The sequence below is a fragment of the Homo sapiens genome, chromosome 1 (genome assembly GCF_000001405.40).
Source record: "Homo sapiens chromosome 1, GRCh38.p14 Primary Assembly".
Classification (NCBI taxonomy): domain Eukaryota; kingdom Metazoa; phylum Chordata; class Mammalia; order Primates; family Hominidae; genus Homo; species Homo sapiens.
This window is the reverse complement of record NC_000001.11, coordinates 143,625,709-143,638,139: the sequence shown is the minus strand read 5'-3', so window position 1 is coordinate 143,638,139 and position 12,431 is coordinate 143,625,709. Positions and strand designations below refer to the sequence as shown.

The window sequence follows — 12,431 nt, the reverse complement described above, 5'->3', positions numbered from 1 at the left end:
GCTGATCCCCCCACCTCCCTCCCGGACGGGGCGGCTGGCCGGGCAGGGGGCTGACCCCCCCTCCCCCCTCCCGGACTGGGCGGCTGGCCGGGCGGGGGGCTGACCCCCCCACCTCCCTCCTGGACGGGGCGACCGGCCGGGCAGAGGGTCTCCTCACTTCCCAGTAGGGGCGGCCGGGCAGAGGAGCCCCTCACCTCCCGGACGGGGCGGCTGGCCGGGCGGGGGGCTGACCCCCCCCACCTCCCTCCCGGACGGGGTGGCTGCCGGGCGGAGACGCTCCTCACTTCCCAGACGGGGTGGCTGCTGGACGGAGGGGCTCCTCACTTCTCAGACGGGGCGGTTGCCAGGCAGAGGGTTTCCTCACTTCTCAGACGGGGCGGCCGGGCAGAGGCGCTCCTCACATCCCAGACAGGGCGGCGGGGCAGAGGTGCTCCCCACCTCTCAGACGATGGGCGGCCGGGCAGAGACGCTCCTCACTTCCTAGATGGGATGGCGGCGGGGAAGTGGCGCTCCTCGCTTCCTAGATGGGATGGCGGACGGGCAGAGACGCTCCTCACTTTCCAGACTGGGCAGCCAGGCAGAGGGGCTCCTCATATCCCAGACGATGGGCGGCCAGGCAGAGACGCTCCCCACTTCCCAGACGGGGTGGCGGCCGGGCAGAGGCTGCAATCTCGGCTCTTTGGGAGGCCAAGGCAGGCGGCTGGGAGGTGGTTGTAGCGAGCCGAGATCACGCCACTGCACTCCAGCCTTGGCACCATTGAGCACTGAGTGAACGAGACCCCGTCTGCCATCCCGGCACCTCGGGAGGCCGAGGCTGGCGGATCACTCGCGGTTAGGAGCTGGAGACCAGCCCGGCCAACACAGCGAAACCCCGTCTCCACCAAAAAAAAACGAAAACCAGTCAGGCGTGGCGACGCGCGCCTGCAATCGCAGGCACTCGGCAGGCTGAGGCAGGAGAATCAGGCATGGAGGTTGCAGTGAGCCGAGATCGCAGCAGTACAGTCCAGCTTCGGCTCGGCATCAGAGGGAGACCGTGGAGAGGGAGAGGGAGAGGGAGAGGGAGAGGGAGAGGGAGAGGGAGAGGGAGAGGGAGAGGGAGAAGGAGAGGGAGAGGGAGAGGGAGAGGGAGAGGGCTCATTATTGTTATTATGATTATTTTGTATGTGTTCAATCTCATTTTCAACATAAGCTCCTGGAAATTAGAGATTTTGTCTCTTTTATTCACCACTGTATTCTCAGTACTTGACCTTGCCTGGCATGAAACAGATATCGAATAAATATCTGTTAAATGAATGAATGAATAACATACTAATACCGTATTCAACAATCTCCAAGTATGACAGTTTTCAACCGTCTAACAAATAAAATAGCTTGTATAGAGCAGAATCATAGTCAACCTGCCAAAAAGGTATATGTCAATGAAAAATAAACCTTTGTATGTGTAGCTGCTAAGATTTTGGGGCTTTTGTTACTGTAGCATAACCTAGTGAAAATTCAGTGAGACAGTGTATAGAATATACATGTACAGATAGACCAGATAGACCAATAGATGAGATTCCAAAGATAGTTCAATAAGCATTAAGCAACTACACCCACACTCTCTTAATTCCCTAACAGAAATAATCAAATTCTTGTTCACTAAGATCTGCCTCAAATACTTTGTGAAAACTTCCCTGGCTACTCAAGTATTTAGTCAGGACTCTATTTTTTCCCCGCAGGCTGGAGTGCAGTGGTGTCATCATAGCTCAGTAACCTCTAACTCAAGGCTCAAGAAATCCTCCTGCCTCAGACTCCCGAGTAGCTGAGACTACAAGTGTGCACCACCATGCTCGGCTAATTTTTCATTTTTTATTTTCAGAGACGGGGTCTTACTATGTTGCCCAGGCTGGTCAGGACTGGTTTTTTTTTTTTTTTTTTTTTTTGAGATGGAATCTCACTCTGTCACCCAGCCTGGAGTGCAGTAACAAGATATCTCGTCTCACTGCAACCTCCGCCTCCTGGGTTCATGCCATTCTCCTGCCTCAGCCTCCCAAGTAGGTGGGACTACAGGCACCTGCCAACACACCCGGCTAATTTTTTATATTTTTAGTAGATACGGGGTTTCACTGTGTTAGGCAGGATGGTCTCGATCTCCTGACTTCATGATCCACCCGTCTTGGCTTCCCAAAGTGCTAGGATTACAGGTGGTCAGGACTGTTGATTACATATGACAGAAACCCAACCAACTCTAGTTCCCCACCACCTTTCAACCTGCTCCTCCCTGGGTCTTCCCAGTCTCTGTAAATGGCAGCTCCATCCTTCAAGTTGCTGAAGCCCCAAATCTCAATGTTAACCTTGATTTCTTTCTTTTATTTCATAGGCAATCTGAAGGCAAATCCTATTTAGACCCAGGCAAAGGTTCCTGGTGACCCAGGCTCTCACCAGCTGATAGTCCCTTACCGTCCTCCTGAGGGTGTCTGGAGCTTCAGTGCTGTGTGCTCTTGGCCTCCACCCTTGGGGTGCCACCGACTCCCACTGTCCAGGGCTTCCAGTGGACTCTCCGAGGCACTGACGTAGAAACTTCCCCATTCAGTGCACCAAGAGCAGCCTCACATGGTGTGGGCCGACATGAAGAGCTGCTAGATCCAACAGGTAAAAATCCTGAGGCATTGCCAGCTTGATGGGGTCAGAGGGCCCTCTTTCTATTATGACTCAGATGTAAAGGGAAGATGCCAAGGTCCCTAAACATCTCAGGGCCTTGCCTGGCATGAAACTGATATTAAATAAATATTTGTTAAATGAATGAACAAATATTCACAGCCTGTGCCACCCTCAACCTGAAGTGCTGTGGTCAGGTGAAAGTGATTTTACTTCAGGAGAGGACAGTGTTCTCTCCAGGACTTTTCCTTAGTAGCTAGATCTGCATCCCTCTCCTGTCTCTTCCCCTCTCAACCCCCATTCTCTGCCTCCATTCCTCTGTGTTTCCACCCTGCTGTACCCTTTCACCTGCTTTCTCCTCTTCAGCTTTTGTGGCTCACCCCCTCCCTGTCCACCCGCATCCCCCAGACTAAGGCCCCTGCTCTGTCCTGGGTGGGGAGATGTGTCTGGTTTTAGGCAGTGCCCTCTAGATGTGTCCAGGATGGGGAAACATGGCTCAGTTGCCAGTATAATAGGTTAAAAGAGTGGCCACTTTTGAAGGCCTTTCCCATCTCCAATTCCAGAATCCTGTAGGACTTAGAATTTATGGGCCACGGTGGAATTCTTGGTTCCCCAGGACCTTGTGGTGGACACCTTCTTTCACTGGGCATTCATGGGGTGACTATTAGGTACCAGGCCCTGGTCTGGGCTAGAGGCCCCATAATGAGTAAATCTCAGGTCACTACCCAATGGAACCCACCACTGCAGGCATTGAGAGGGGGAGAAAGAAAGGGACATGGCCTGTTTGTGTCCTTCTCATGTGGTCACCCACTGGGTCCTGGGGGAGTGGGAACCAGTGCAAGGAGAGAAGTCCATTGAGAATGGCAAATGGATTATGTCAGACCCAGGGGCTGAGGCCCCCACCTGCAGCTGGATAGCTTCTGGAGTGGACAAGGAGCAGCAGGAAAGGTCATGGCCTGATGTTCTGGAGTCCACCATCTCATCTCATTCCTGTGGGCACCAGAACTTATCCAAAGATAAGACTCAGTGTCTCTGGCAACAGTGGGCCAGAGACAGAATGTGTTTCAGAGGAGGAGGAAGGTGTTGTACCCCATGGAAACAGTATATGGTTTCACAGTAGTGTGTCTCTCTCTAATAACTAGTTAGCATGTTCCTGTTAATGGAAAATATTGGTGGTGTAAGTTCCCCTGGATGTTCTCATCTTCATGTAAATTTGTTAATTTCCTTCCTTCCTTCCTTCTTTCCTTCCTTCCTTCCTTCCCTACTTCCCTCCAACTCTCTCTCTCTTTATTCTTTCCCTCCATCCTGCCCACCCGCCCTCCCTCCCTCCCTTCCTTCCTTCTTCCTTTCCTTCCTCCCTCTATTCTTTCCTTTCTTCCTTTCTTCTTTCCTTTTTCTTTCTCTCTCTCTCATGCTGTCTCTTTTTCTTTCCTTTTTGTTCTACTTTTTTGAATAGACCACACGGTACTGAAACCTACATTATTTACCAAAATCTCTGGAGCTGCTTCTGTCTTGCAGGCAGGGAGCTCATCGTGTAGCCCTGAGCTCCTTCCAGCCCCCTCCTTTGATTTGTGGGTGCCACTGGGGCAGCTGCTGAGTCTCAGTGGTTCCTAGTCTTCATCAAGTTCTGCCCACCCAGATGGTTTGTACCTGTCCTTACCAGAAGCCTGCACTGTCTAGATTGCTGAGGCTGCTTCTACCTAACTGATCTGCTAGCTGTATTCCGGGGGCACCCCAGGGTTAGAGGTAAATGGCACAGGCATTGAAATCTCCAACTGCTCTGACTCCAGGTTGGTGCACTTCAATGCCAAGTACTAACCACACAATAACAGGATGCCACCAAAACCTTGATATGGGGCTGCTGCATCCTAATTAAAAAAATTAATAGACATTATTTTTTAGAACAGTTCTAGGTTTACAGAAAGATGGAGTGGATAGTACAGAGAGTTCTCCTAGGCTCCCCTGTCCTCCAGCACACAATTTCCCCTATTAGTATGTTGTATTAGTGTAGCCCATTCGTTACAATTGATGAACCACTGTTGATACATCATTATCAACTAAAGTCCATAGTTTACGTTAGAGTTCATTCTTTGAGTTTCACAGATTATGGGTTTTGGCAATTACATAATGTCCTAAATCCCCAATACAGCATCATGCAAAATAGTTTCACTGCTGAAAATTCCCTGTGCTTCACCATTTCGTGCCTCCTCCTCTCCTCCACCCCTGACAACCACTCATCATTTTACTATTTCTATCTTTTTGACTTTCCAAGAATGTCCTAGAGTTGGAATCATAGAGTATGCAGGTTTCCAGACTGACTTCTTTCTAGCATTATGTACTTTAAGTTCCTCCATGTCTTTTCATGGCTTGATAGCTTGTGTTTTAAAAATCACTGAATCAGATTTCATTGTATGGCTACAACACAGTTTGTTTATTAATTCACTTGGTGGAAGACATCTTGGGTACTTCCAAGTTCTGGCAATTATGAATAAAATTGCTCTAAGTACTTATGTGCAGGATTTTGAGAGAACTTAACTTTTCCAGAGTGACTGTACTCTTTTGATTTCCACTAGCTATGGAGAGTTCTGGTTGCTCCTCATCTTTGACAGCATTTGGTGTGTTCACCTTTTTGCATTTTAGCCATTCTAATAGGTTTACAGTGATATCTCATTGCTGTTTTAATGTGCAGTTCCCTCACGACAAATGATTTTGAGCATCTTTTTCATATGCTTATTTGCCATCTGTATATCTTATGAATGAGGTGTTCAGATCTTTCACCTACTTTTTTTTTTTTTTTTTTTTGCTTTGTGTTGTTTAGTTCTCAGAATTCTTCATATATTTTGGACAGCAGTTTTTCCATCAGATTATTTTGTAAATATTTTCTGCCAGTCTGTGACTTGCTTTTTCCATTCTCTTAACAGTGTCTTTCACAGAGCAGAAGTTTTTAATTTTAATGAGGCTCAACTTAATTTTTTTTCATTAGTAGATTGTGCTTTTGGTTTTGTATCTAAGAAGCCATCATCGAACCCAAGATCCCCGAGATTTTTCTCCTATGTTATCTCCTAGGATTCTTATGGTTTTGCACCTTACATTTACATGTAAGATTTATTTTATAAAGGGTAGAACATGCACACCTGGATCTATCTATCTATATACATTTGCATGTGGTTGTCCAGCTGTTCTAGCACCACTAGTTGGAAAGGCTATCTTTGCTGTTTTAAATTGTCTCTAAACCTTCATGGAAGATCAGTGGACTGTGTGTAGGTCTGTTTCTGGGCTCTGTATTCTTTTCCATGGATCTATTTGTGTGTGTTTTCTCTTTTCACCAACTTCACCCTATTTGGGCTACTGTAGCTTAATATAAGCCCTGAAGTTGGTAGTGCCAAACTTCAGGGAGTTTTTCTGAACTTCATCATGAGAACCTAGTTGAGATCATTGTAGTAAAACTTGGAAATGTGTGATATTCCCCCTTAGTTGGTTTTCAAGGAGTTTTCAGTGCTCTAGCCAGGCCACCCTGAGCTTCTAGTAATCTGTCAATACCATTTAAGTGCTCCTCCCACTTGCTGTCCCCAGTAGCTTCTCTTCCCTGTGAGCTGTGACTCCTTGTGTGTTAGCCTGTGTTTCTCATTTTTCAGATGGCAGTTTTCCCTGTGACCTCAATTCTCTGGTCTACCCTAGAAGGGTTGACTTTCAGTTCCTTCAGCTTTTTTCTAGCTGTGAGGACAAGTCATGACCGCCTAGCTCTTTCCATGTTGGAATAGAAATCCAAAAGTTCATTTAAAGAATTACTTGTTATAAAAGTCACCCATTGTCAATGTACAACTCAATGATGTAAGTTGATTTATCGAATTGTGCAGCCATCAGCAGAGTTCTACTTCAGCATATTTTGTCACTTCCCAAATTCCCTTGAACCTGTTTGTAGTCATTTCCTAATCCCTGGTCCCCATGACTGGGTCTGAATAGAATAAACATTTGGAAAGCAGATTTCATTATATTTACACTTTCCTGTGTTTGGGACTTTATATAGTGGACTATTGTGTTCGTTTTGTGACAAGTAGAGAAGAGATTGCATTCTAGGGATGATTTTTGGGGGAACATAATATTAGTCCTGTTTATGGCTCTCCTTGAATTGGTTCATCTGTGCTGGTGACTGGTATTTGCTACCAAACCTTGTCTGGTGAGCACAAGAAAAGGAATTTTAAAAAATCTGCTATTAAAATTGAGGTGATACATTTTCATATAATAATATGTGGAGTTAAGTAATGAACCATCTTTATTTTTTATTTATTCATTTATTTATTTTGAGATGGAGTTTTTGCTCTGTTCCTCAGGATGGAATACAATGGCGCGATCTCAGCTCACTGCAACCTCCACCTCCTGGGTTCAAGTGATTCTCCTGCCTCAGCCTCTTGAGTAGCTGGGATTACAGGCACCTGCCACCACACCGGGGTAATTTTTGTATTTTTGTAGAGACAAGGTTTCTCCAATTGGCCAATTTGGTCTCTAACTCTAGACCTCAAGTGATCCACTTGCCTTGGCCTCCCAAAGTGCTAGGATTACAGACATGAGCCATGGCTTGAACTGAACCATTTTTATTCTTTCAGAAATGTGATTGATAACAGTAAAGCCACACTCTTCACATGCCTGAAATAGCCCTCATTGTCTTCTTCAGGTGGCAAGGGCTCTGGAACAGCCACATAAAGGTGAGGGCAATATTTTTATGGTAGTTCTTTCATTGATTGATTTATTGATTGAATTTTTTTCTCTTAGAGGGGTTAGCATCCATGTATCTAAAATTGAAATTCAAGAGGAGAGACAGGCACCTGTACTAGTTTTCTCTTGCTGCCTATTATCACATTACCACAAACCAGTGGTTTGAAACCACAGAAGTCTGGAATGAAGCAGCTGGATTCTCTGATGAGAGTCATGTGAGGCTAAAATCCAGGAATGGGCTGGCTGTATTTTTTTCTAGAGCTCAAGCTATTTTTCCAAGTTCACTACAGATACTGAAGGCCTTCCTATTCTTGTTTCTGGGGGACTGAGGGCCCTTTGTCTTTGCTGACTGTCAGCTGGGAGACACTCTGACTCCAGAGGCCACCTGCTTTCCTCCTTACCTCTCTTTTCCATCATCAACCAATAATAACTCATGGAGTCCTTCTCAAGCTCCTACCTTCTCTGAGTACAGATCCTTGACATAATTCCCTTACCTCCTTTGACCTGTGAAACTGAACAAACAGCTTATCTGCCCCTCATTTGAAATGATGGGACAGACATAGAATAACAACTACAGTGATTCTAGTTCAAAATGAGGGAACATGGAGGGGATAAAGAAGTCACTGACCTAAAATAGTTTGGAAATGGAGCTGGACAAAATCCAGCAGGAGTTTCTTAATTAGGATCCACAGCCTGGGACTGACCTGCCATCCTGTGGGTCTTTGCCTCTGGGCTCTCTGCTCTGCATTTCTTGAAACCATTATTGTTTATCTTTTTTCTCACACTCTTTTGTGTGTGGCTCCTGTTGCACTCAAAATGTTTTTGAGATTCATCCATGTTGTTTTGTGTGTCAACAGTTTGTTCCTTTAGCCATTCCATGGAATGAATGTGTCAAAGTTTATTGATCCATTCTTGTATTGACAGATACTTGAATGTTTCCAGTTTTTCCTATTGTGAATAAAACTGCTATGAACATTCTTGTATAAATCATTTTCTGGGCATATGTTTTAATTTCTCTTGGATAAATGCTTAGGAATTACTGAGTCATAGAATAGGTAGTTGTTTAGTTCTGTAAGAATATGCCAGACATTTTTTCCCAAAGTGTTTATACTATTGTACATTCCAACCATTAATGTATGAAGGTGAGAAAGCTTTTGCTACTTCCAAAGAGACCTCGCTATATACATGTAATTTTTTCTAACTGGAGACAGGCTGATGACTTCAGGGACATGAGCCTGGGATACAGGACACCTGTCATCACCACCACCATGAAGTTGGGATTCAGGAAGGAGGTTAATTATGTAACAAATCCTGTGACCAGCATGAGCTTCTGTCAGGCCACACAGGGCACTCAAGTGAACAGGGCATAGGGGGCCCTGGGGTCATGGTAAGAAAGTGTCTCATTGGTAAAACCTTTTCCCTTGGGGAGGTAAATAAAATCTTTGTTCCTTTTTGGTAGCCTTTGAAGATAAGGATGGTCAAAAAAAATAATATCATATCTGCAGAAACTCAGATCTTGGAAGGATTTACTAGTTGGGAATGCAATGTCAATGCCAAGAAGTAGCTGCCGGTTGCAATCAAATGTGAGCCTATGGATCAAGGTGCATCCTCAATCACAGAGAGCTTTTTGAAAGATGCTATCAGTAGTTTTTCCAGGGAAGAGATGGGTCCTTTATTTTCTCTCTAATCTAGCCCATATGCTTAGCTAAGAAGGTTTCTTCATATCACTTTAAATGATGATGTCCCTTGTTCAACAATTTTCTAAGCATTCTTTAGATAAGAATTTTATGGGCATTCTTTATTGCATTAGGCTTAAATTTAATGCATCTTAAGGTTTTATTGCAAAGTGTTGCCTTGTTTCCTTTTTAAGATGATACAATTTGTAACATGCAAGTTTGCTGTCTGTCCCCTCCCTTTATGAACACACAAAATGAGCAAACATGTAGCCATGAAATGGATGGTCATAGAATTGTTTCAGTGGTTGTGAGTGCAGCAATCCCAGAGAGTCTTGTCTGAAATACCACCAGGAATGCCTGGACACAGTAGACAAAGGTTGTTCAGCTGGATGCCTTAGGATACATGCTTCCAAAAACAAAGTAGCTGAAAAGAAACCAGAATCACAGAATATCAGAGCGAGAGGAACATTTGGAGGTAATTCAGTACCTCCTCCTTTTCAACCTACAGGGGAGGTAGTGGAACAGAAGCAGGGATGCACCTGCCTGCTGTGCCCACAATTCACTGGAGATTGTTGTGGTGAAAAATTTCATTTATGATGAAGGAGAAATAAACCCCTATCAGCTTAAATTCAGGCAGGTTTATTGAAAAGGTGAAGAAGCATCTTGCAGAAGCAAAGCATGGCTGAGGCTTGTGGGCTCTGTCTGGGAAATGAGCAGCCAACAGTGGCTGATGCTGCCCCTGACTCTGGGGCCGTGTGGTCTCTTGTTCCCTGAGAGCGTCTCTTCTATTCTTTTGCATCTTCCCTCAGCCTGGCAGTCTCTGTGTACTCTTCAACACATAATTGAGCAAGGCTGTGCCAGCCCCAATGCCACCTGGCACTTTAGGTCAAATTAGAAAGGCATGAAATAAACTGTTCCTTTATAATATGGCTGTTGGAACAACAGTTGAAAATATAATATCTTGACTCCTAGTTTAGTGCTTTCTGCTGAACTTTCTTTTCTGAATATGAGCACAGACTTTGGAATATTAGTGTCACCTAGCATTATTAGCTAGTATTCTCCTTTTGTTTCCCAATAACATCCCCTCCTTCTTCCCACAGATCCACTCTCCACTCATTTCCATCCTGTCTTATGCCACTCAGGGCTTACCCTTCTAAAATGCATCCCTGGCTCCCCTGCATGCACACTTCTAGTTAGGTTTAGCAATGAGGGGCACCTGATGGAGCCTGGAAGTGAGAGGCAGGTGAGGTCTGTATTTCTTTCCTCTCCCTCCCTGCTCTGGCACTGAGTATCTGACAATAGCTTCATCTGTCTTACTTCAGTGGCCACTTTTCCACAGCCCCAATTTTCAGTGGATCCCATAGCATTATTTACCTTTGTTCCTTTAGCTCCCACTAATGAAGATCCAGGGACATTCTCCTCGCCAAGGCATTAAGAAATGCACAGGTGAGGGGAACAGTGGCATGCGTGTAAAGGTCCTGTGGCACCTCTCCTCTGCAGGCTGGAGGTCATGGCGGGAGATGCTGCATGGATTTGCCCTCCCTGCTGTCAGGGAGAACAATAGGGTTCTGGAAGAGTAGAGGACAGGCAGTGGTACGCGGCCATCTAGAAACAAGGTGGGAGGAATTTCCTTGAGAGGCAGGGATCTGTGGTGATTACTAATCATCGTGAGGTGTCTGGGAATGTAATGGATGGGAAATCTACTAAGAAATCAATGTATGTAATAATTAGAAAAGCTCTAGTTCTGAGGACAGAGACCATAGTAGGAATTTATGACCTGGCATCCAGTTCAGATACCTGGAGATTCTTGACAGAGAGGAGATTGGATCCCTTGAGAAAGAGTGAAGCCTTCAATGCTGCCACAAGTGTATGCTGTAAATCTTCCTCCAGGCCTTCCCCAGAAGGACCTGAAGCCATTTATGTGGGTGACCGAGGAAAGGGAAATACTCAGAGCTTCTGTGGCTTTTTGGATTCTGGCTCTGAAGAATGCTAGCCTAAGGGCACATGTGGTGGCCCTGAAAATGCACTACTTGCATCTCCAGCTGCAGGAGGCCTAACGAATCAACAGCCTCAGCTGCTACACTCTGAATCGAGTACTTGATGACATTTCCCCCAGATCTGTACTAACCCATGAGGAGGAAAGCCTCATATCAAGTCCTCCCAATGGAACACCCATGACGACTCATGAGGATGTCGAAGCTGTTTTCCTGTGGTAACTGTGACTTTCTTTCTTCAAAGTCTGTTTTGTTCATGCACATTAGCTGATTTATATAAAATAAGATAATAAATGCCTAGACTCCCATGAGTCTATCTTTTACTGATAAACTCTAGTTCTGAGGACAGAAGCTTGATGGAGTCGGTATAGTGGGAATTTATAACCTGGCATCCAGTTCAGAGACTTGGAACGTCTTGACTGAGGGGAGGTTGGTTCCCTTTGGGGAAGAAAGAAGCCTTCAATGTTGTCACTAGTGTATCCTGTAAATCTTCCTCTGGCCTTCCCAGAGGGACCTGATATATGACATATGATACGGTGACCACCAATTCAGGGTGTTCTCATCTACTCTCAAGAATGCAATATCTTATTCCTCTGGATTCACCTAGTACCAATATTCATGTATAGCTATGCACCTTAATAGACCATAGCTAATTAGATGAGGAATGGTAGACCCAATTCAACCATACAGGCATCAACCATCTCAGCATACAGGCATCCCTCTACCACCATTTCATTCTTGTCCCCACTCCAAAGTCTTCTCCATTTTACTTTTATTAATTTTCTATTGCTGCATACTAAATTACTGCAAGCTTTAGAGGGTTACAATAACAATGATTTACTTTCTTGCAGTGTCCACAGATCAGAAGTTCAGGCCTGGATTAGCTGGGTCTTCTTCTCAGGGCCTCACAGGCTGAAACTAGGCTGGGTTTCTTTCTGGAGGGTCTGGGGAAGAACTTCCTCTCAAGTTTCCTCAGGTTGTCAGCTGAGTTCAGTTCCTTGTGACTGCAGGACTGAGATCTCTGTTTTCTTGCTGGCTGTCAGCCAGGGGCCTCTTGCTGCTCCTAGAGGCCTCCCACGTTCCCACTGCATGCTTTCTCCATCCAGCAGAGGAGAATCACCCTGCCTGGAAACCCTCCTGCACTTCACATTTCTCCAGGAAGACCTCAGTCCCTCCAAGGAATTCACCTTCTTTAGGTCAAGCTCATAAGATAATCTCTCTGTCTTAGATTCGACTGATTTGGGATCTCGATTACATCTGCTAACTTTTTTGCCATAAATTGTAACACAATCACAGGAGTGATATCTCATCGCTGGCTTTGTCTACACTCAGGAAGAAGTGATTATATAAGAGCAAAGATCACTGCAGCTCATCTTAGGATTCTGTCTACCATAATACTATAAAGACACAG

The 12,431-nt window shown here is 45.3% G+C and overlaps 1 pseudogene, besides 1 other annotated feature; it reads left to right on the top strand.

Moving 5' to 3' along the window:
* Positions 338-946: an enhancer, noted in NCBI's record as "H3K27ac hESC enhancer chr1:149131858-149132466 (GRCh37/hg19 assembly coordinates)". NCBI's record gives its function as "activates a minimal SCP1, AML or CMV promoter by ChIP-STARR-seq in naive H9 embryonic stem cells {active_cell/tissue: H9 hESC(naive)}" and the evidence as "EXISTENCE:reporter gene assay evidence [ECO:0000049][PMID:30033119]".
* The window catches only part of NBPF17P (NBPF member 17, pseudogene), a 40,565-nt pseudogene continuing 30,493 nt past the window's right edge, over positions 2,360-12,431 (top strand).